Below are 24,847 nucleotides of genomic sequence, written 5' to 3'. Positions count from 1 at the left end.
TATTTGTGTTTCTGTGCCTGGCTAATTTTACTTAACCTAATGCCCACCAAGTTCATTCACATTGTCTCAAACGACACAATTTATTCTTCTTTTTTTTCCCCCTATGGTGTAATAAGATTTTATTGTGTATGTATACTGCATTTTTAATTCATTCTTTTGTTGATGGACACTTAGATTAATTTCATATTTTGGCTGCTGTGAATAGTGTTGGAATGAACATGGGCATTCAGATACCTCTTTTTTGAAACAGAGTCTCGCTCTGTTGCCCAGACTGGAGTGCAGCTGTGGCGTGATCTCGGCTCACTGCAACTGCAATTTCCGCCTCCCGGTTCAAGCGACTCTCCTGCCTCAGCCTCCCAAGTAGCTGGGACTACAAGCGTGTGCCACAACACCCAGCTAACTTTTGTATTTTTAGTGGAGAGGTTTCACCACGTTGGCCAGGCTGGTCTCGAACTCCTGACCTCAAGTTATCCACCCACTTTGGCCTCCCAAAGTGCTGAGATTACAGGCATGAGCCCCCAGGGGTGCCAGGCCAGATACTGATTTTATTTTGTCTGTATACCCAGTAGTGGGATTGCTGGATTATATAGTATTTCTACTTTTTATCTTTTGAGAGTAGATGTTAACTGTTCTCAGCACACAAATAATAACCATGTGGGGTAATGCATTTTTAATTACTAAATTTAACCATTTTACAATATACATATACTTTAAAACATCCTGTTTTATACTCTAAGCAAAATTTTATCTTTCAGTTAAAACAAACAAAAACAAAATAGCATGAACCTGGAAACTACACATATACCCATCATCAGTAGAATGATCAAATAAATTATGGTATATTCATAAAATTGAAGACAAGAAAGTAACAGCTACAGTAGTAGGCAAGCACTTTCAGAAGTTTCAGTCTAACCTCAGATTATCTCAGTACTTAATATTTGATTGAGGTGATACCAAATGAAAGAAAAAAAAGTAAGCCAATAGTAGAAATTTAATTGGAAATATCATATTTTAATATTAAAAATAAACTTTAGACAGTCAACACATTAAAATTTTTTAAAATATACAAAATAAATTTTAAAATCTTAGAAAATAAATGAATACAAAATTTGTGGGAAGCAGCTAAATTTTTGCCTTGCAGGAAATTTATAATTTTAATTACATATACTAGAAAAGAAAACAAACCAATTATTTAAAGTCCCATTTCAATAAGATTAAAAACAGTAAAAAAAAAATAACAGAAAATATAAATACATATGCCAAAATAAAATAAATTGGAAAACAGAAAAATGAAAGCCCAAGTTGTTTTTTAAAAAAGTAATAAAATTGACAAAGCTTCAGCCTGATGGATTTGAAAATGTGAAAATACAAATCCTAATACCAATAATGAAAAAGATAATATAATTTCAATCCTTTCTCACATTATAAAAGATAATAGGATATTATAAAAAAATTTGTGAATACATATTAAAACTCGAAAAAATAGATATTATTTTTTAAAGAAACATCTTACCAAAACTAGTGTTAGAAGAAATTTTAAAATATGAGTAATCTTATAGTTGTTGACTTTTTAACTAAATACTCTCCTGGTCAAATTAGGTGGCTCACACGTGCAATCCCAGCATTTTTGGAAGTCAAAATGGGAGGACTGCTTTACGCCAGACAGTTCAAACCAGCCTTGGCAACATAGGGAGACCCCATCTCTAGAAAAAAAGAAATTAGCAAGGCATGGTGGCACACACCTATAGATACTTAGGAGGCCACCATGCTACAGCCTGGACAACAAAGAGAAACCCTGTCTCTAAAAAATATTGATTAAAAAATTCCCACAAGAAAACTACAAACATTTAAAGAAAAAGTAATACCAAACTTAAACTCTTTCACAGTTTTCAGGCTAGTATAACTCTGGTAGTAAGCCTGAGGCCATTACACAGAAAAGAAAATTAAAGAAAAATATACCCGTAAGCATGGATGCAAAAACTCATGAATAAAACATTAGCAAGTTGAATTTAGTCACAATAAATAGAATAAGTGGGAATTATTCCATGAATTCTAGGCTAGCTTATTATTTAATAATCAATCTCTCATAGGAACAAGTCAATACAAAAAAGATGTGTTGTAAATATTATATGGGAAAGAACAAATGTCACTAATATAGAAAAAATAACTATTGCTCAATAAACAAGTGCTTTAAATGATAAATCAATAAAGTGATATCAATAATTGTTAATTTTTATTTTATTTCACACCTAGTTAGAATCATAAAAGAGTTTATTCTCTGACAGAAATTGATAATCTAATTTAAAATCAATTTAGGGATCAAAAGAAACAGTTAAGAAATACAAGGACAGTTTGGAAGAAGGAGATAATAATGATCCACAATAAAAATATATCATTTAGATAAAATGAGAAAATTATATAGTAATGGAATAAAAATTGTTCGTTAGATTAATGAACTAGCTCATACATACTGAATTGGATACATGTATGTGTTCAAATTTAGCATATGATCAAGGTAGCCAATAAAATCAATGAGGAAAAGATGTATAATGAGAAGGAGTCATTACATTGTAGCGATTGACCATTTTATTGAGGTTGCTGGGGGAACAATTCAGATTTCTGCCTCATTCCATTACAGACATAAATTTCAAATCAAATAACAAAAAAAATTTAAGCAACAAATGGATGAAAGTATCACATTATGGAAAACTATGTTTAAAGTCTTACAGCAGGCTATTATTTCTTAAAAAAAAGAAGATATACATTATTGGTATACTGACAGTAGAAAATTTTATGGGTTTAAAGTATAAAGTTTAATAACAAAATTTGCTTGTAAAATTATTCATATTAACATATTGATAATAACATATAAACATATAAGCTAATGGACAATGTTCAGATTGACAGCCAAGTAAATTCAGATACTTAAGAAATGAAAATGTTGAATTTCTGTGATGAGCAAATAAATATATATTAAACTAATTATATAATATATTTTATATAGATTCACAAATAATTGAAATTTATCAGTATTATTTCTGGAAAAAATGATGTGATCATACATTGTTTTAGAAAGCAAAAATGGAAATAGGCCTTTGAAAGGCAATTTGGCAGTTTAGACTGAATTTTTATAGGCATAAATTTTCAAGACAAATTTAACTCTTCAATAGCAGCTAAATAATCTCTCGTGTAAATGAAGAAAAAATATAATTATGTTTTTAAGAGCAAAAACTAAGAAAATATATTAATCATTTATCAATATATAATTTTTAGGCAGTTGTATCATATGGGATACTAAAGAGTAGTTAAATAAAATGATGTAGAGCTACCTGTGTTGACATTAATATGAAAATATTCACAAGCCACATTTTCTAAACATTTTATATGAGTATAATAAATATTCTTTTATATTATTAATGTAAAACTGTTCCATTTGCATATATATATTTCAGTATAAGTACTTAGAAAATGATTTGGGAGAAGAAAAACTGAATTGCAAAGAACAGTTTTATAATTCAAGGCATGTATCAATTGAATATATTGATTTATGTATATTTAGAGAAGAAACAAAAATGTTGGTATGCAGAAGAATCTGTATTTCTATCAATCAGCTCTTCTTGAGATATAGGAGTCTATGAAGGCTCAGAATCTCAGGCATGGTCACCAGAAAAGCAAGAGAAGCATTATTTGAAGTGTTATGTCATCCTGAATTCAAATGATAATGGAATGCATTTTCCCATAGAAACATTATTAAATATGGTTCTCATGAAAATCACCTAAGTTAATGCATAATAGGTAGAGAGATGAATATGTGATCAATAAGTGATAGATAGCTAGGTAGGATGGATATGATTGTACTTTTATTTCATGCATGAAATTTTCTCTTTAAATACTTATTATTGCAAATTTAAAATAACACTTGAAATTCACTGAATTTTAAGTTAGGGAAAGTATGTGGTTGTTAAAATCTATTTTTCTATTTGAAGGCTATTTGAAGGGCGTGAAAATCAGCCAGCATTTATAGAAGTTCACCAAGTGGTTGTACCTTAGTTAACATTTTAGTTCTCGTTTATAACATGTATTTACATAGCTCATTACTGTTGAGCTCACTAGAACTATATAATATTAATGAAGTTTGTTTCAATAGGCCAAAGTGAGAAACTCCAATTTTTCTATAAATTTTTAATTAATTTGGAAGTCTTAAGTTTTCAGTGAGGCCAACAGATGTAAATTAAATATTAAAAATGGTAGAATGAGAATAGAAATATGACCAAGAATCCTACGCCCACAAATTTTAACTATAGTTCTCAAAAAGCATCTGGAACTTTTTTTTAAATAGAGGAGTGACTTTTAAACAGAGCTGCACATTAATATCAGCTATGAAATTACAAATTCCCCCTCTCATCTCTGCATTTAGTGGATTCAGAAAGGAGACTGGATATGTATAATTATGGAGATTTATATATTTATGATGCACTTATGCATTTAGAAAAAGGCATTGTGCATACAAATGAGTGTTAAGACAAACTGTGTTTAAATAATGATGATACTTTATCGCTAATGTTAATAGCATATTCAGTACTAATTTAGCAGTTATGATGCTATAGTATAGTGTCAGTCAACGTTGTCAATAATAATAACTGCTTAATGTTTACAGCAAAATATTGGTAAAATGTATTTGTTCTATTCATTAGTAGACTGTTTTCAGAAATTTACTTATATTTACCATTGACATATTTTCATAAAGCTTATGTATTAATTAATTGGTTCAATACAAAAATTTGAATGCTATGTTCCTTCTATTATGTGTTGATTGCAGCAATTTAAGACAGTATGACCCCCGCCCTCAGAGAAAGCGTATTTAATAAAAACAGACACAACAAAATAATAAGACATCAATTACTTATATATACTAATGAAAAACCTACAAGGGAAATTCTAGGCTCCTAAGTGAATTTAATAGACTTATATAATTTAGGCTAAAGAATCCCAGACTTTTTCATTGTGAAGTAATATTTTAATTTAACTCTGAAGTATGAATAAAATATAACCTTTGGTGAAGGAGTGGTCACGTACTATTGTGTTCTCAGAAAGATGTTGTATAAGTGTTATAGGACTTCCCTGTCTACAATTGAGCAAACAAACCAGTTTCTGTTGTCAATGCCAAGATAAGCTTTGACCAGACACCCTCCCCCTTTCCCAATATTGGCCATTTGAAAGAAACATCTGACAGAGACTCAGAGCTCATCTGCCCTGGCCAATTAGGACTCAATGGTATCAACTCATTAGAGCTCAGGTGTACCAACCAATCAGAACTAAGTAAGTTTCAATCCTTCATTGGCATTAATGGGCCTGATTAGGAACTTGGGCAGGAACCTTTGCCATAAAACCTGAATCATCTTTTTGTTGCCTGGAACACAACTTTGATTAGAACAGAAGGCTGTCTATCCCTGCTTTGCAAACTACTCAAAGGAATAAAATTTCCCTCCAAATTTATTTTCAAAAACCTTTTCTTCACAATCAACAAATATGGAAATAAATAAGAAAGGAAGGAAGGGAGGGAGAGAGAGGAAAGGAGGAAAGAAGGAAGGAAAGAAGAAAAGAAAGGAAGGAAGAGAGGGAGGAAGGGAGGGAGGAAGAAATAGGGGAAAATTTTTTTTAATACACAGGAAAAAGGGCTGTCATCCAAAATTATAATGTGTTATTTGTATATGTCATATAATGAAAAAGTAGATGAAAGTGAAAGAGATACTGAAACAGGACACATACTTTTGCAGATCTTAAGCTGTAAATCCAATCACTGTATAGTTAAATATCTTCCCAAAGATTATTGGTTAGAACAGTAAAATGAGGGTCCTAGACAAAGTCTAATGCAAAGATCTAGTTTTACATGAGTACATGCCTAGGAAGGAGAGATGGTAAACCATGTTGATAGCCGATTCAGACTTCCAGTCTTTTCTTAAACTGAAAAAAGAGGCGAGGAGGCACCAAGGGCCAGATAATGACATCAAATGCCTCTGGGTACAAGAGCTTTTCCAGCCATGCTGAATACTGGGGCACTAAAAATTAAATGAAGATGTCTTTGTAGGACAAAGGAAATCATATTTAGTGAGAGGTTGCTGGATACAACAAATATGAATTGAAACTGTGATTTATCCTCCCACTCTTCGTCATAGTAGATTTCAGGATAATTGCTCCCATTTAAAAAGTCAGTAATAATGACAAAAGAACTTCAGAAAGTGTATGCATTAATGTTGGAGGGAAAAAGGTAAGAACAAGCACTGCAAATGACAGGTGAAAAATAAATTTCTCAAGATGAATTTCAGTGAAATAGGAGCAGTGTTCAGAGAAAATATCTCCATAATTTCAAATAAATTTTAGGCTTTAAAAATATTTCAAAGAAGAGTACAGAAACTCAAAATGAGATCGTGAGGGGAAAAAAACAGAGATTAAAAAATGCAATGGTTAAAATATAAACTTGATATGAAAATAAAAATGCAGTTAAGTGTTGAATGGTAGATTAGAGGCAATAAAGCACATATGACTATAAGTACGGCCTAGTGCATTATGGAAAAGACAGAGGAAATCATAAGATTTTAAGTGGAGAGGAAAGACCCAAATAATAATTATGGGGTAGATCATAGATATTGAGGAATATTGGATATAAAATAATGTGAACCTGAAGCTCTGGAAGAGGAAAGGAATGATAACTGAAAATGATACGTATGTTTAAAGATATAATACAATAATGTTAGAGAGAATGATTAAGATCCTCCAAAAATCCTTTTCTCAATAAAAGCAAGTAAAACTGGCAAAACTCTCATAATGAAGTTTTCAAAATTCATGAAGTTAATTAAAATTTGCAATAACCTTGAGAGTGTTTATTCAAGAAAATGGCTAACTTGTAAAAATAGTGAGGTCTGTGGCATTGCAACTTTTTTATGCCATCCCCTCTGTCCTCCGTTCTGGGATAACTTTGAAAACCAACAGCCCACGATAATGATAGCATCCAGGAAGCTTATGTAGGAAGTAGAAAATGGTTGGAGCTCCTTTAAAGCCTCATTCTCAGAGAGTGGTCATTATTTGAGCTGTCTGTCACTTCCTTGGATAACTCCACAAACCAGCCTTGTGATTATTTGACCTGACTCAGTCATAATCGAGTGTGAACAAGTAGTCTTTACCTAAGGTGTGTTTGCTGAAAACAAGCAGTGGCAATTGGATAAACTGCAACTGCCTGAGATGGAGATAAAAGTTGGGGTAAATTTCAGGCTGATAGATATTTAAAATAAAAAACTGGGGAAGGAGCTGTCCATAGGGGGGTTGAAAAGCTTCAACATATTCCTGGAAATCTAAAGGGCCGCATGTGCAAGTCTGTCTGCATGTGCAGTCATGTGGCTTAATGTAAGTAAGAAGTAAAATGTAACAAGAGCTGTAAATTGCTTGCCTAAACATTGACAGTGTGTCCCCAAATGCATAGAATCCCTTGGCAAATGCTAAAAGACATATTTATACCAGGCATTTAAGGTACTATCTATTCAATCATTAGCTGATGACAAAGCTAACTGAGATGAAATTGCAGTAGCTACATCCAACAAAGAATACAGACTTGACAAAATTAATTCAAGAAATAAATGAAAAAAAAACCAGCAAGAACAAAAAAAATTACTGGGGATAGAAGAGAATCTGATTACAAAATTTGCCATTATATATTATTCAATATTTTAAATTTTTAACGAAGAATGTATGAGACATGCAAATAAATAAGAAATATGGCTCATATACAGGAAAAAGTAAGATCAATAGAAACTGCACTACAGAAAACAAAAATATTGGAATTATAGAGAAAACATAAAGTTTGCTATCTAAAGAATGTTCAGAGAACTAAAAAAAATCTTGTCTAAAGAACTATTGGAAATATGAGAATAATACATCATCAAATAAAGGAAAATATCAAGAAAGATATATAAATTATTTAAAAGTTTATAATACAGTCTATAGGGTCAAAACACACAATAATAATTAAAATAAATTCACAGGGGGCACTCAACAGAAGATTTGAGCTTTCAGAAGAATGAATGCTTGACCTTGAAGATAGCTCAATTTATATAACCAGTCTGAGGTACTGAGAGAGAAAAGAATGAAAAAAAGTCTCAGAGACCTGTGAGATACCATGATACATATATATACATAATGAGAGTCACAGAAGGAGAAAGAGAAGGAGCAGAAGGAGCAGAGAGAAGAGGGGAGGAAAAGGGGTAGAAAGAATATTTGAAAAATTAATGTCTGAAAACTTCCCAAATTTTGATAAAAATTGTTGATCTACATGTCCAGAAACTCAGTAAAACCCAAAAGGAATAAACTCAAAAATCCAGACGTAGACATATTATAAACTATCAAAACCCAAAGTTGGAAAGAACCCTTTCTAATTTATGTCATTTTTATTCAAACATTTTCATTATATATAAATACATATAATTATTCCATGTTTAAAATTTTCAACAAAAACATGATACATGGCAAAAAAATTTTTAAAAATGTCTTATATACAGGAAAAAGTAAGGTCTATAGAAACTACTCTACAGGAAGCACAAATTTTGGACTTATAGCAAATAACACGAAGTTGGCAGTTTAAAGTATGTTCAAAGAATTAAAGAAAATCTTGTCTAAAGAATATGAGAAATTATATTCTATAATATATAAATATAATACATATAATATAAAATATATAAAAATGTATTTTATATAATATATAATAAAAATTGTACCTATATATTAATATATAAATAATATATAATGTATTATGTATATTTATATAGATATAATTCTCATAATTTTTTAGACAAGATTTCATATATGCATTCCAAAATTTTATGTATACGTTCAAATTGTATACATATATCAAAACATAACATTGTACCTATAGGTACAGTGTAACAATATGTACCCATAAGTACAATGTGATGTTTTGATATATGTACTCAATTTGAAATGATTAAATAAAAAAAAGCCATATCTATCACCTCACCCATCCTTTTTTTTTTGAGACATTTGAAATTTGCTGTCAGCAATTTTGAAATATTAGATACATTATTATTAACTGTGGTCACCTTGCTGTGTGGTAGATTTCAAAAACTTCTTTCATCTGTTTAATTAAAACATTATGTCCTTTGACAAACATTTCCTCTGCCAACCCTTGGCCTCTAATAACCAACATTCTCCTTCCTTCATTGATGAGTGTGACTTTTTTAGATTCACCATAAAAAGGAAATCATGCAATATTTGACATTTTGTGCCTGGCTTACATCACTCAGCAAAATGTCTTCCAGGTTTATTTGTGCTATTGCCAAGGACAGCATTGTCTTTTTTTTTTTTTTTTAAGGCTGAATGGCTTTCCCTTGTGCTTATATCTAATATTTTCTTTATCTGTTCATCTGCATAGACCCTTAGGTTTATTCTACATCTTGGCTATTGTGAATAACACTTCAGTGAATATGAATGCAGACATGTCTTCAATATATTGATTTCAGTTCCATTAGATATATACCCAGAAGTAGGATTGCTAGATCATATGGTAGTTCTCTTGTTCCTCTAGCTGTCTATAATTTCTACAAGATGTTGAGACAACTTTATACCATTTTTCATGGCTGTACTAACTTACATTTCCACTAACAGTGTTCAAAGATTCTGTTTTCTCCACATCATTACCAACATTTTTTAGTTCATCTTTTTTATCATAGTCATTCTAATAGGTGTAAAGTAATATCTCATTGTAGATTTAATTTTAATTTACCTAAAAATTAGAGATATTCAACAAATTTTTATGACTCTATTGGCCATTTGTATATCTTAAGAAACATCTGTTCAGGCTCTTTGCTCAGTTTTTAGTTGGTTATTTGTTTTCTTATTATTGAGTTGTTTGAGTTCCTTATGTATTTAGGATATTAATCCCTTATCAAATGTATGGTTTTAAAATATTTTCTTCCACTCTATGGGTTATGTATTCACTCTGTTGGTTCCTTTGTTATGAAAAAGTTGTTTTTAGTTTGATGCAATCATTTTATGTATTTTTACTGTTGTTACCTGGGCTTTCAAGGTCATATCCAAAAAGTTACTAACCAAAACAATGACATGAAATATTTTTTGATGTTTTCTTCTAGTACTTTTATATATTTCTGGGTTTTACTTTAAATCCCTAAACCATTTTGTGTTTATTTTTGTATATGATGTGGGAGGAGAATACAGTTTCATTCTTCTGCTTATGGATATCCACTTTTCCCAACAGTATCTATTGATGAGACTATCCTTTTCCCATTGTGTATTTTTGGGATTTTTGCTGCCAATCAAATAACCATAAAGGTGTGAGTTTATTTATGGGCTTTCCACTCTATTCCATCAGTCCATGGGTCTATTTCTATGCCAGTACTATTGTCTTTTGATCACAATTGCTTTAAAGTATGTTTTCTAATCATGTTTTTTTTTCTTTTTGCTTAACATTGCTTTGACTATTCAGGATCTTTTGTGGTTCCATATGTAATTTAGAATTTTTTTCTATTTCTGTAAAAATTACCATTGGGATTGTGTAGGGATTCATTGCATCTATAGATTTCTTCAAATAGTATGGACACTGTCAAAATTAATTATTCCAGTCCATAAACATAAGTTATCTTTCTATTTATTTGTGTTGTCATCAATTTATTTCATCAGTGTTTTATATTTTTCAGTATACAGATATTTCACCTCCTTGGTTAAATTTATGCCTAAGTATTTTTGTTGCTGCTGCTACTGTAAATGGGATTGTGTCCTCAATTTCTCTTTCAGAGTTCATTGTTAGTGCATACAAGTGCTACTGATTGCTGCATGTTGATTTTGTATCCTGCAAATTTACTGTATTTATTTATTAGTTTTAATTTTTTGGTGGGATCCTTAAGGTTTTCTATTTATAAGATCACCTTGTCAGCATACAGTTTCACCTTGTCCTTTCCTATTAGGATGCATTTTATTTCTTTATCTTCCCTAATTGCTCTGTCTAGTACTTCCAGTACTATGTTGAAAAGAAACAGTGAGAATGGGCATCCTCATTTTGTTTTTGATAATAAAGGAAAAGATTTCAACTTTTAACCATTGATTTATAATGTTAGCTGTCAGCTTATCATATGTGGCCTTTATTGTGTTGAGGTGCATTCCCTCTGTAACTAATCTGTTGAGAGATTTTACCAAGAACAGTTGCGGAATTTTGTCAAATGCTTTTTTTTTTGCACTTATTAAGATGATTATGTATTTTTGGTCATTTATTCTGTTATTGTGGTGTGCCACAATTACGGATTTGCATATGTTGAACCATTCTTGCACCTCAGAGATAAATCCCACTTGCTCATAGTGCATAATTCTTTCAATGGGTTGTTGAATTAGGTTTGCTCATATTTTGTTGAGGATGTTTTCATCTATGTTCATTAGTGATATTGGCCTGTAATTTTCATTTCTTGTACTGCTCCTGTCTGTCTTTGGTATGTGGGTAATACATGCCTTAAAAATGAGTTTGGAAGTATTCCATCTACTTGAAATTTTAGGAAGAGTTTGAGAAAGATTATATTAGCTTTTCTTAAATGTTTGGTAAAATTTAGCAGAGAAGCCATTATGTCTCAGGCTGTTCATTGATGGGGGACCTCTTATTACTGGCTCAATCTCCTTAGCCATTATTGGTCTATTCAGATTTTTAATTTTTTTCATGATTTAGTCTCAGTAAGCTGTATCTAATCAGAAATTTATATATATCTTCTAGGTTATCCAGGTTGTTGGTATGTAATTATTCCTAGTATTATTAGAATTTTTTTATGTTTCTATCATATCAGTTGTAATTTTTCTTATTTTATTTCTGATTTTATCTATTTGTATCTTCTATTTTTTCTCAATTGTTCTTTTGAAGAGTGTTTCAATTTTATCTTTCCAAAAACCTCTTAGTTTTGTTGATTTTTAAAATTATTTTCCTAGTTTCTAAATTATTCATTTTTGGTCTTTGTTATTTACTTCCTTCTAACTTTGGTCTTAGTTTGTTTTTCCTTCATTTCTCAGATATATAATGTTAGATTGTTTACTTAAGATCCTTCTTTTTCACTGATACAGGCATTTTTTTGCTACAAGTTTCACTCTTAGAGCTGCTTTTGCTGCATCTCATATGTTTTGGTATGCTGTATTACCATTTTCATTTGTCTCAAGGTATTCTTTGATTTTCCTTTTAATTTATTCCATAACCTACTGGTTGTTTAGGAGCATGTTGTTTAATTTCAACATATTTTTAAAATTTTCAGGATAACTTCCATTGTTGATTTCTAGTTTCTTGTTATTGTGATTTAAAAAAAAAACCTTGATATAATTTAAATCTTCCAGAGAGAGAATCTTTTTTTCTTTTTGAGATGCAGCAGAGAGAGAATCTGAAAAGCAGCAAGGTCAAATAATCTTTTTAAATATATGATGGGTTAAAAATAAGATGAACAGCCAATTTCTAATTGAAAACCATGGAGAAGAGAAGGCAGTCACATGACATACTCAAAGTGCTGAGGAAACAGCTGTAGACCAAGAATTTGATATGCACCAAAACAAACTTTCAAAATTAAAGGATACATTAAGACAATCCCAGAAAAACAAAAACAGAGATGATCTGTTGCTACCAGAAAAGCCTTACAAGACGTAGTAATGGAAGTCCTCCAGGCTGAAATGAAAGGACACCAAACAAACTCAAAATTACATGAAGAAATGTAAAGCACAAGTTAAATATAACTGCATACATAAAGTATAATATAATACTGTTTTTTGTTTGTTTGTAACTCTTTTCTGTCCCACCTATGTTGAAAGACCTGTGCATAAAGCAATGGCTTGATTGTAAAAATGTGTTGCTGAACATGTGAAGTATTAAGATGTATTTTATGACAATAACAGCACAAAGAAGAGGGGGAAATGAGCTATATAGGAGCAAAGCATATTTATATTATTGAAATTTAATTGCAATATATCTAAACTAAATTTCTACGAAATAAAATATTAATTCTAATAAAAATACTATGATATACTATGGAAACACAAAAATATTTTTAAAAATTGCCAAGAAATTGAAATGACACACTGTAAAATATCTATACCAAAAGAGAAGGTGGTGGCCGGGCACGGTGGCCCATGACTGTAATCCCAGCACTTTGGGAGGCTGAGGGTGGTGGATCATTTGAAGTCAGGAGTTTAAGACCAGTCTGGCCAGCATGGTGGAACCCCATCTCTGCTAAAAATGCAAAAGTTAGCCAGGTGGCAGTGGCACACACCTGTAATCCCAGCTACTCAGGAGGCTGAGGCTGGAGAATCACTTGAACCTGAGCAGTGGAAGTTGCAGTGAGCCGATATCGTGTTTCAATCTGGGAGACAGAGTAAGACCCTGTCCAAAAAAAAAAAAAAAAGAAAGAAAAAGAAAAAGAAGGTGGTATTACTGTAAGAACAACAAATACAGAAGACAGGAAGAAAAGAATAATAGTATAATGGCAGAAGTGAACTTCACTTTATATCAAATGCAAATGGAGTAAACACTCTGAAAAAGGCAGAGATTGACTGACTGAATTTAAATAATGATTCAACTATATGACTATATTCTGCCAGTAAAAAAACACAATTTAGGTTCAAAGACACAAACAGACTGAAAATAAAGTATAGAAAAAGATATAAAGTGCAAACCATAACCTCTCAAAAAAGCCTGAGTAGCTATGTTAATTTAATATCAGACAAAATGGACACTGAAACAAAAATCATTACTGTAAGATAAAAGGATATTTTTTAAATGGTGAAAGTATAAATCAAGAATATTTACTATTTACCATTTTATTTTTTTAATTCATTTTTAATTTTTCCTTTCAAATTTTATTATAGGTTCAGAGGGTTCATGTGCAGATTTGTTACATGGTTAAATTGGATGTCACTGGGGTTTGGTGTACAAATTACTTCATCACCTAGGTAGTGAACATTATACCTGATGTTTTGTAGAGTCTCACCTTCATCCCATGCTCCATCCTCAACTAGGCCCAATGTCTATTGTTTCATTCTTTGTGCATATGAATACTCAGTTTTTAGGTCCCACTTACAAGTGAGAATATGCAGTATTTGGTTTTCTGTTCTTTATTAATTCGCCTAGGATAATGATCTCCAGCTGTGTCCATGGTACTGCAAAGGCGTGATTTCGCTCTTTTTGATGGTGTGTGGTATTTTATGGTGTACGTATACCATATTTTCTCTATCTAGTCCACTGTTAATGGACATTTAGATTTATTCCCTGTCTACATTAGTCAGGGTTATCTAGACGGACAGAACTAACAGGATATATATATATATATGTATATATATATATATATATTCATATGTGTGTGTATATATAAATATATATATGGAGTTTATTAACGCACATAAACACAAAGTCTTACAATAGGCCATCTGAAAGCTGAGGAGTAAGGAAGCCAGTCCAAGTCCCAAAGCTGAAGAACTTGGAATCTAATGTTTGAGGACAGGAAGCATAGAGCATAAGATAAATATGTGGGCTGGGAAGCTAAGCCAGTGTAGCCTTTTTATGTTTTTCTGCCTGTTTTATATCCTGGCCACAATGGCAGCTGATTAGATGGTGCCCAACCAAATTAAGGATGAGTCTGCCTTGCCCAGCCCACTGACGCAAATGTTAATCTCCTTTGGCAACACCCTCACAGACCTACCCAGGATCAACACTTTGCATCCTTCAATCCAATCAAGTTGAAACTCAGTATTAACCATCACAACGTCTTTGCTATTGTAGATAGTACTGAGACAAACATAGATATGCATATGTCTTTATGGTAGAATGATTTATTTTCTTTTGGGTACATACCTAGTAATGGGATTCCTGGGTTGAATGGTAGTTCTATTTTAAGTTATTTGAGAAATCTCTAAACTGCTTTCCTCAGTGGCTGAACTAATTTACATTCCCACCAACAGTGTGTAAGTGTTCCCTTTCTCAGCAGCTGCAACAGCATCTGTCATTTTTGTACTTTTTAATAATAGTGATTCTGACTCTTCTGAGATGGTAGCTCATTGTGGTTTTGACTTGCATCTCTCTAATAATTATTAGATGATTAGTGATGTTGAGCATTTGTCTATATGCTTGTTGGTTGCATATATGGTCTTCTTTTGAGAAGTGTTTGTTCATGTCCTTTGCCCAGTTTTTAATGGAGTTGTTTGGTTTTGGCTTATTGGTTTAAGTTCCTTATAGATTCTGGATATTAATCCTTTGTCAGATGCATAGTTTGCACTTATTTTCTCACATTCTGTAGGTTGTCTATATATTGTGCTGATAGTTTCTTTTGCTGTGCAGAAGTTCATTAGTTTAATTAGGCTCCACTTGTCAACCATTTTGTTTTTGTTGCAATTGCTTTTGGCATCTTGGTCATGGAATCTTTGCCCATTCCTAAGTCCAGAATTGTATTTCCTAGGTTATCCTCCAGGGATTTTTAATTTTCTGTTTTACATTGTATTTCATCCATCTTGAATTGATTTTTGTATATCGTGAAATGGAGAGGTCCTGCTTCAATCTTCTGAAGATGATTATCTAGTTATCCCAGTATCACTTATTGAATAGGGAGTCGTTTCCTTACTGCTTGTTTTTGTCTGCTTTGTCAAAGATCAGAGTGTTGTATATGTGTGGCTTTATTTCTTGCTTCTCTAATTTGTTCTGTTGGTCTATGTGTCTGATTTTGTACCAGTACCATACTGTTTTTTTATTATTGTAGCCTTGTAGTGTTGTTTGATGTTGGGAGGCAATTGAAGTCAGGTGGTCTGTCTTTGTTCTTATTTCTTAGAATTTCTTTGGCTATTCAGGCTCTTTTTTTTTTTTGGTTATGTATGAATTTTAGAGCAGTTTTTTCTAATTCTGTGAAAAATGTAATTGGTAATTTTATAGAAATAGTATTGAATCTGTACATTGCTTTGGGCAATATGACCATTTTAAAGATATGGATTCTTCCTCTTTATGAGCATGAAATATTTTTCCATTTGTTTGTGTTGTCTCTGATTTCTTTCAGCAGTGTTTTGTAGTTCTCATTGTAGTAATCTTACTTCCCTGTTTAGCTTAATTCCTAGATATTTTATTTTTTTTGTGGCTATTGTAAATGGTATTTCATTCTTGATTTTGCCCTCAGCTTGGACATTATTGGTGTGTAAAAATGTTGCTGATTTTTGTACATTGATTTTGTATACAGAAACTTTCCTGAACTTGTTTATCAGAGCTAGGCTCCTTTGAGCAGAGAGTATGAGGTTTTCTAGGCTTTTCTTTTTTTCTACTTCCTCTAGGTGTGAAGCCGAGTTTTTAATTTAAGACCTTTCTACCTTTCTGGTGTGGGTGTTTATTGCTGCTAACTTTCCTCTTCATACTGCTTTAGCTGTGTCCCAGAGATTCTGGTGTGTTGTATCTTGGTTTTCATTAGTTTAAAATAATTGTTTTGATTTCTACCTTAAGTTCATTGTTTACTCAGAAGTCATTCAGGAACAGATTGTTTAATTTCCATGCAATTGTATGGTCTTGAGAGATCTTCTTGGTATTGATTTTGATTTGTATTGCACTGTGGTATGAGACTACAGTTGGTATGATTTTGGTATTTTTATTTGTTGAGAATTTCTTTATGGCCAAGCATGTGATTGATTTTAGAGAATGTCCAATGTGCAGACAGGAAGAATGTATAATCTGTTGGTTTTGGGTGGAGTGTTCTGTAGAAGTCTGCTAGGTCCATTTGGTGAAGTGTTGGGTTAAAGCCTCAAATGTATTTGCTAGTTTTCTGCCTTGATAATTTGTCAAATACTCTTTTGGGGTGTTGAAGTCTCCCACTTTTACTGTGTGTTTATCTAATTCCCTTCACAGGTCTCTAAGAACTCATTTTATTAATCAAGGTGCTCCAATGTTGACAGTATATATACATAGGATAGTTAAGTCTTATTGTTGAAGTGAACACTTTAATTATTATGTAATGCCAATATTTGTCCCTTTTTAAAATTAAAGTCTGTTTTGTTTTAAGTAATACTAGTAACCCCAGATCTTTTATGTTTTCTGTTTTCTTGGTAGATCTTTCTCCATCCCCTTACTTTGAAGCTATGGGTGTCATTGCATGTGAGATGTGTCTCTTAAAGATATCATATAGTTGTGTCTTGCGTCTTTATCTAACTTGCTCCTCTGTGCCTTTTAAGTGGGGCATTTCGCCTTTTTATGTTTGATGTTAATATCGATAGGTGTGGATTTGATCCTACCGTCACGTTGTTAGCTGGTTGTTATGTAGACTTTTTTGTGTAGTCGTTTTATAGTGTAAATTATCGATGTACTTAAGTGGGTTTTTGTGGTTGCTGGTAATTGTCTTTTGTTTCCATGTGTAGCACTCCCATAAGGACCTCTTGTAAGGCAGCCATGGTGGTTACATAGACTCCTAGCCTTTGCTTCTCTGAAAAGGATTTGATTTCTCCTTCACATATGAAGCTTAGTCTGGCAGGATACAAAATTCTTGAATACTTTTTTTTTTATTTAAGGATGTTGAATATAGGTCCCCAATCTCTTCTGGCTTATATAGTTTCTGCTGACAGGTCTGCTGTTAACCTGATATGGTTTCCTTTGTAGGTTACTTCCCCTTCTCTCTAGCTGTGTTAATATTTTTTCATTCATCTTGACTTTGGCAAATTGGATGATTATGTGTCTCGGGGATTGTCACCTTGCATACTATCTTGCAGGGGTTCTCTAAATTCTCTGAATTTGAATTGTTAACCTCTCTAATGAGGTTGGGACATTTTCCATGGGCAATATCCTCAAATACATTTTCCAAGTTCCTTGCTCTCTCTCTCTCTTTAAGGGATGCCAATGAGTCATCATTTTGGACTCTGTATAATCCTATATTTCTTAGAGGGTTTGTTCATTTAAAAAATGTTTTATCTTTATTTTTGTCTGAGTTGATTCAAAGAACTGGTCTTTGAGCTCTGAGATTCTTTCCTCCACTTGGTCTGTTCTGCTGTTAATACCTCCAATTGTACTATTACATTCATGTGAGGTTTTCAGTTTTGTCAGATCAGTTTGTTTCTTTCTGAAAATGACTATTTCATCTTCCAGCTCTTGAAATGTTTTACTGGAATCCTTTGATTCCTTGAATTGAGTTTCAACTTTCTCTTGACTTTCAATGACTTCCTTCCCATTCAGATTCTGATTTTGTTTTTTCACTTTTATTTTCAGGTCAGGTTTGTTACACAGGTAAACTTGTGTCATGGAGGTTTTTAGTACAGGTTATTTTATCATTCAGGTATTAAGCCTAGTACCCATTAATTGTTTTTCTTTATCTTATTTTTCTACCCACCAGACTTGCCTTACAAGAGACCCTGAACTTTAACTGATTCTAATTTCTATGTCTGTTATTTCAGCAATTTTATTCTGCTCAAGAACCATTGCTGGGGAACTAATGCAGTTATTTGATGGTAAGAAGATACTCTGGCTTTTTAGAGTTGTAAGACATTTTGGACTGGTTCTTTCTCATCTGTGTGAGCTAATGTTTCTTTAATCTTTGAATTTATTCTTTAGACAGAACTTTTTGTTTTGATATTATTTGATGCTCTTAAGAGGCTTACTACGGTGAAAGTTGGGTTTAGTCAACTGGCTTTATTTCTGGATAATTTTGCAGGGCCAAGGCACAGCTCAGCACTCTTGGGCTAAATACTGTAACCCTGGAGGATTGGATCAGACCCATGGCTTTGTTCTCTGGCTTCTTGAGGTTAAGCATCTGCTGTGGTGGAAGGGCCGAGGTGTTCCTGTCTTCTGGCAAAAGCACTACAACACGGGGTGACAGCAAAAGCACTCGATCTGGGTGATGGCAGTGGGATCAGCATGTGTACATTAGCAGCAGCAAGGTGGTGGTGGTATCCACACATGCACATGCCAGATATATAATTTGTAAGCTATAAATGTACTTAACACCAGAGACCCAAAATATGTGAAGAAAAGACACATAATTGAAGAGAGAAATAGACAATTAGATATAATTCAATACTCCACATTCAATAGCGAATAGAATAACTAGGCAGATCAATAACAAAATAGAATACATGAATAACACAACAACAGTATAACATAATGAAACCTACTATACACATAAAGAACACTCCACACAACAACCGAGAATACACATTATTCTCAAGTGTATGTGGAACTTTCTCCAGGATATACTGTATGATAGGTTATAAAACATACCTCAAGGGTTTTTTTTAATGATATAATACAAAATGCTTTCTCAGACTACAATGAAAGAAAGTTAGAAAGTGATAATAGGAGAAAATTTTGGAAATTCACAATTATGTGGAAATTTATAAGATAATTGGTCAAAGAGGAAGTCACAATGGAAGTCAGAAAACACCTTGGGAAAAATGAATACCGAATCACAACACACTAAAATTTGGGGGATGCAGCTAAAGCAGTGCTTAGAGGGAAATGTATTTGTATCTGGCTATCTTAAAGGAAATAAATATTTCAAATCAACACTATAAGTTTTCACCTTATAAAATTAGAAAAAGTAGAGCTAACCACATCCAAAATAAATGAAAGGAAATAGTGTACATTAGAACAAAAAATGAAATAAAGAATAGAAAATTCAATAAAGTTATCAATAAAACCAAAAGTTACTTCTTAGAAAATATAAACCTTTAATTGACTGATAGAGAGAAAAACACACATATTTGAACAAATAGTATAACTTGATTGCAGATATATGTATCGCTGTATCTTTGGTGGTAAGTTGAGGCAGTATATGTCTGATCACTCTGGATATCTGTGTAAAATAAAATGCTAGGTGGAGATGAGAATGATATATGGATTTTTTTATCAGTATAAAACTTCCTTAGTATGTACATGGAGAAATCAGGTATTTGAGTTTTTCCCAAAGTTCTCTCTCTCTTTTTCTTTCTATAAGGTGAGATAAAAGAAGTGATGGAGTAGGCTGAGCATGGTGGTTCACCCCTGTAATCCCAACACTGTGGGAGGCTGAGGTGGGCAGATCATGAGGTCAAGAGATTGAGACCATCCTGTCCAACATGGTGAAACCCCTTCTCTACTAAAAATACAAAAATTAGCTGTGCATGGTGGCGTGCCCCTGTAGTCCCAGCTACTCAGGTAGCTGAGGCAGGAGAATCACTTGAATCCGGAAGGTGGAGGTTGCAGTGAGCCGAGATCACTGTCACTGCACTCCAGCCTGGCGACAGAGCGAGACTCCGTCAAAAAAAAAAAAAAAAAAAAGGAGTGATGGAGTGTTGTTATTAAGAAAGTTAGGCTTCAGGATATTGATTAACTTGTGTAAGGAGAAATAGCTAATAAGTAACAGAGCTAACATGTAAATCTAGAGACCATCTGACAAAAAGAAAAATTCCATAAACATTTTGCCACTATTGCTCCCACAGGAAAAGTGACATGGCTTAACATGACAGCTACTGCTCAAATTTCATCATATTTCTTGCTGTATTTCCAAACACAGGTAGGTGATTGTTTTGATAGCATCTTTCAACCTGAGTGTAGAAAACACTTATCTTTATGATGGAGCCAATACAGTGATTCATCCATGCTTGTCCAAGGCCACTTGAGAGTCATGATGCAGAACTCTAAAGCATAAAAGTAATTTTTTGAGCAACAAAGCAAAAGTAAATGAATAAGTATACTACACAGGAGTGCTAAAAGATCAGGGACAGCAGATGTGCACAATAGACTATTAAATTTACCTTTGGCATTATAAAATATACTGTAACAGATACAGTGTGCATGATTTTAATTGAATAACACAGTAAAAATTAACACTATATGAAACCAGATCCATCTTCTAATATAGCCATTATGAGTGTGTTTGTATTTTATATTATTTTCTGAAATCAATTTGCAACAATAAAGTAGTGAGCAAGATTAGCAGCTTTAGTTATTGAGTAGGGATGGTTTATAATCCATACATAAAATGTTTTTCTCAGCTTATTAAGTTTTGCATTAAAATAATCAGTAAACAATGGAATTTTTGCAATAAACTATTTTGACATAGTGATAGCCGCAATATAAGTATAAATCAATTCTGCAAGCCCTGCTAAAAGAGGCTGAAGAGAAAGGATTTACAGCTTGCCTGTGCAATTATTTATGGGTGAATTGTTTATGTTTCAGTGAAGAAAATAACAAATATTTCAGCAGGAAACTGGATCTATTTCTATTTTTATCCCCCTATTTTAACCAGAGCCTAGAGAATTGTTTGAACCAACATTTTCATAGAAAACAAACAAACAAACTTTACTAAATATGCACTGCAGGAGTAAATTAGAAGTATACATGATCAGTTTGATGCAAAAACCTCTGAGCTTCTAAATGCATAGATTTCTGCATTATTTCTCTTTCTTTTTAGAATTAAAAGTCAATAGAGGACTATGGCAGATTGGAATGGAATAAAATTACAATAAACAGTGAAGGCAAGAAAGCATTAGGTATACAACGCACATTCAAAATACCCTGGTGCCTTTGGTATTCTAATATGCACAATTTATATTGTAAGCACATGAGGATCTCAGTCTTTTACACCTGGAAGGATGGTACTATAATCTGTAGTCATCAACTATTATTTATATCATTAGTATATCAATTTACCATTTTTAGTTAAAAAATAACAGCTATTTTGAACTAAATGTTTGTGCCTTCCCCAAATTCATAAGTTTAAACCCTAATCCCCATTTTGTTGGTATTTGGAGGTTTGCTTACATAGGAACCGAAGGTGCTGGAGTCCACTCATCCTAATATCTTCCCAATTAAGAAAAAAAAAGATAACATCAGGGTAAAATTTACTTAAACAGGAAGACTGTAGGAGAAAGGACCTTAAAACACCATAGCATACTCTTAATGAGAGTGCATTCAGTATACACTCTTATTATCATCGGTACTTCTCCAAGGGAGAAATTTGGTTTTTTGTTTTACTTAAACAAGAAAACAAACAAACCAAATAAAAACTAAAAGTTATAGATACAACATTATTAAATATTACTCTATGATTTTACAGTTTATTGAAATTTGTTAATTGTACCTCTAAGCATTCACAACATAATACAGTTGCCAAAATTTTTAGTAATAATCTATAAAAATTAGCTTCATGTTATTGATCAATAATTATAACCTAGTTATCTTCTATTGAATGATTAGGGCTAAAATTTACTTAATAAATAACCCAATTATTTAAAGATAACATTAATGTCTCTGACTATCAAAAGAACTACAAGTATACTTTTCTATCTCCTGTTAGAGCCTGATAAACAATGACTTGTAATTAGTATCAGAAATCTTCTGAAAATAGTTATACTTTTATAGAAAGCAAATGGTAGCATTTTGTGTTTAAAGATGCCTCAACAAGTGCTTTACAAACTGGTTTATCCTCTGCTATTTGACATATTTGTGCATCAGTTAAAAAATAAAAAAGCCAAACCTGGATAAATCAATTGTAGTAAGCAGTAATGCTCATAAAATTGGCAAAATATTTTGAGTTCTACATAAAATTGTAAATAAGAAATAAAAGTGCAACTCCATTTTCATTTGTACAACTAGGCCAAAATTTCAATTGATTTCAACTCAATTGTATAATATGCTAATATATTAAAAGAAATATTCAACATCAGTTTTGGGGGGAGTAAAATGACTAAAATGATACCTAACAGATATATAATCTAAAAAAGAAAACAGCCATTTTAAATCTCTATATGCTTTACTGTAAACTATGGAAATGCATGTAGAGACACACAAAATCATTTTGACTATGGATGGTGATATTTGAGTAAATCTTCAAAAATGTTTTAAATTTATATAGAGTATATGAATATACATGGTTATCTGGGTAAACTATTAAAACAACAAAAAATGATATACAAAAGAACTTTGAGAGAAGGCTATGAGGTGGTTAAGATATAAAGATTTTATATATATATATGTATATATATATATATATATATAAATAGTAAATCACCATATATCTGACATTGTTGGAAATGTCTTATGTAACTTGAAATAGACATAGGCAAAGCCTTCATGACTAAAACACAAAAAGCAATTGCAACAGAAGCCAAAATTGACAAATGAGATCTAATTAAACTGAGGAGCTTCTGCACAGCAAAAGAAACTATCATCAGTGTCAACAGGAAACCTATAGAATGGGAGAACATGTTTGCAATCTATCCATCTGACAAAGGGCTAATATCAAGAATCTACAAAGAAATTAAACAAATTTACAAGACAAAAACAATCCCAACAAAAAGTGGGTGAAGGATATGAACAGACACTTCTCAAAGGAAGACATTTATGTGGCCAACAAACATATGAAAAATAGCTCATCATCACTAGTCATTAGAGAAATGTAAATCAAAACTGCAATGAGATACCATCTCACACCAGTTAGAATGGCGATTATTAAAATGTCAGGAAACAACAGATGCTGGCGAGACTGTGGAGAAATAGGAACACTTTTACACTGTTGGTGGGAGTGTAAATTAGTTCAACCATTGTTGTTGGTTGAGGAATTGTTTGTGTTGGTTGTTGAAGAAAGTGTAGTGATTCCTCAAGTATCTGGAACCAGAAATACTGTTTGGCCCAGAAATCCCATTACTGGGTATATAACCAAAGGATTATAAATCATTCTACTATAAAGACACATGCACACGTATGTTTATTGCAGCACTATTTACAATAGCAAAACTTGGAACCAACCAAAATGCCCATCATGATAGACTGGAAACAGAAAATGTGGCACATATACACCATGGAATAATATGCAGCCATAAAAAAGAATGAGTTCATGTCCTTTTCAGGGACATAGATGAAGCTGGAAGCCATCATTCTCAGCAATCTGACACAGGCACAGAAAACCAAACACCACATGTTCTCACTCATAAGTGGGAGCTGAACAATGAGAAAACATGGACACAGGGAGGGGAACATCACACATCGGGGCTTGTCAGGGGGTGGGGGGCAATGCGAGGGACAACATTAGGACAAATACCTAATGCATACAGGGCTTAAAACCTAAATGATGGGTTGATAGGTGCAGCACACCACCATGGCACATGTATGCCTATGTGACAAGCCTGCACCTCCTGCACATGTATCGCAGAACTTATAGTTAAAAAAAAAAGAAAAAGAAATAGTAATGTTGATATTTTATTTTCATTCAAAAGTGATCAACTGTCACACTGAAAGTGATAGAGCTAGGACTCTAACTTCAAAGCCATTGCATATCCCACTATATTATTTGTAGTTTGTGTTAAGGAGCACCTTTTATGTTAAAAAAAAAAACCATACTGCACAATATAATTATTAGACTGCTTATTTTAGCTATTTTAAAAGTAACTTAGCAGGGTAATGATGATAATTATATTTGGAAGTTAATAATAAAACTACAGTTGTTGTGATGATGACAATTAAAATGCAATTATAATACCTGTGTGGAATACATTCTTACTTCTAAGGCAGAAATACATTTTTGCCATGGAGCAAGTGTGAAGTGAATGCTAAGACTATTTAACAAATAACTTACACTGATTTGTCCTCTCCAATATAAAAGTTATCCTCTCCTTACAACGGTATAACATTAATACACCCAAACGCCCACCAAGAATTAGAGCACTTTAAAAAAACTAAAACTAGTTTAGATACAATAGATTCTGTTTTATTCTAGAAGTGAATAGCCTAATGGTTACAAGGGATTCAAGGTTTGCATGTTCTTCCCTTATCATAAGCAGGCATAGTGCAGAGATTACCTGTGAATGAAATAGGAAGGAATGGGAA

At 32.5% G+C, this 24,847-nt stretch overlaps 1 long non-coding RNA gene across 1 annotated transcript; it reads left to right on the top strand.

The window, feature by feature from the left end:
* Positions 1-341: 341 nt before the first annotated feature.
* LINC01242 (long intergenic non-protein coding RNA 1242) lies at positions 342-19,861 on the top strand. Its single transcript, NR_046204.1, has 3 exons — positions 342-376; positions 18,439-18,492; positions 18,696-19,861. It is a non-coding gene; the product is annotated as a long intergenic non-protein coding RNA 1242 (long non-coding RNA).
* Positions 19,862-24,847: the final 4,986 nt, after the last annotated feature.

This window comes from Homo sapiens, chromosome 9 (genome assembly GCF_000001405.40).
Source record: "Homo sapiens chromosome 9, GRCh38.p14 Primary Assembly".
Taxonomy (NCBI): domain Eukaryota; kingdom Metazoa; phylum Chordata; class Mammalia; order Primates; family Hominidae; genus Homo; species Homo sapiens.
Note: the sequence above shows the minus strand (reverse complement) of the source record. Positions and strands in the feature narration are given on the sequence as shown.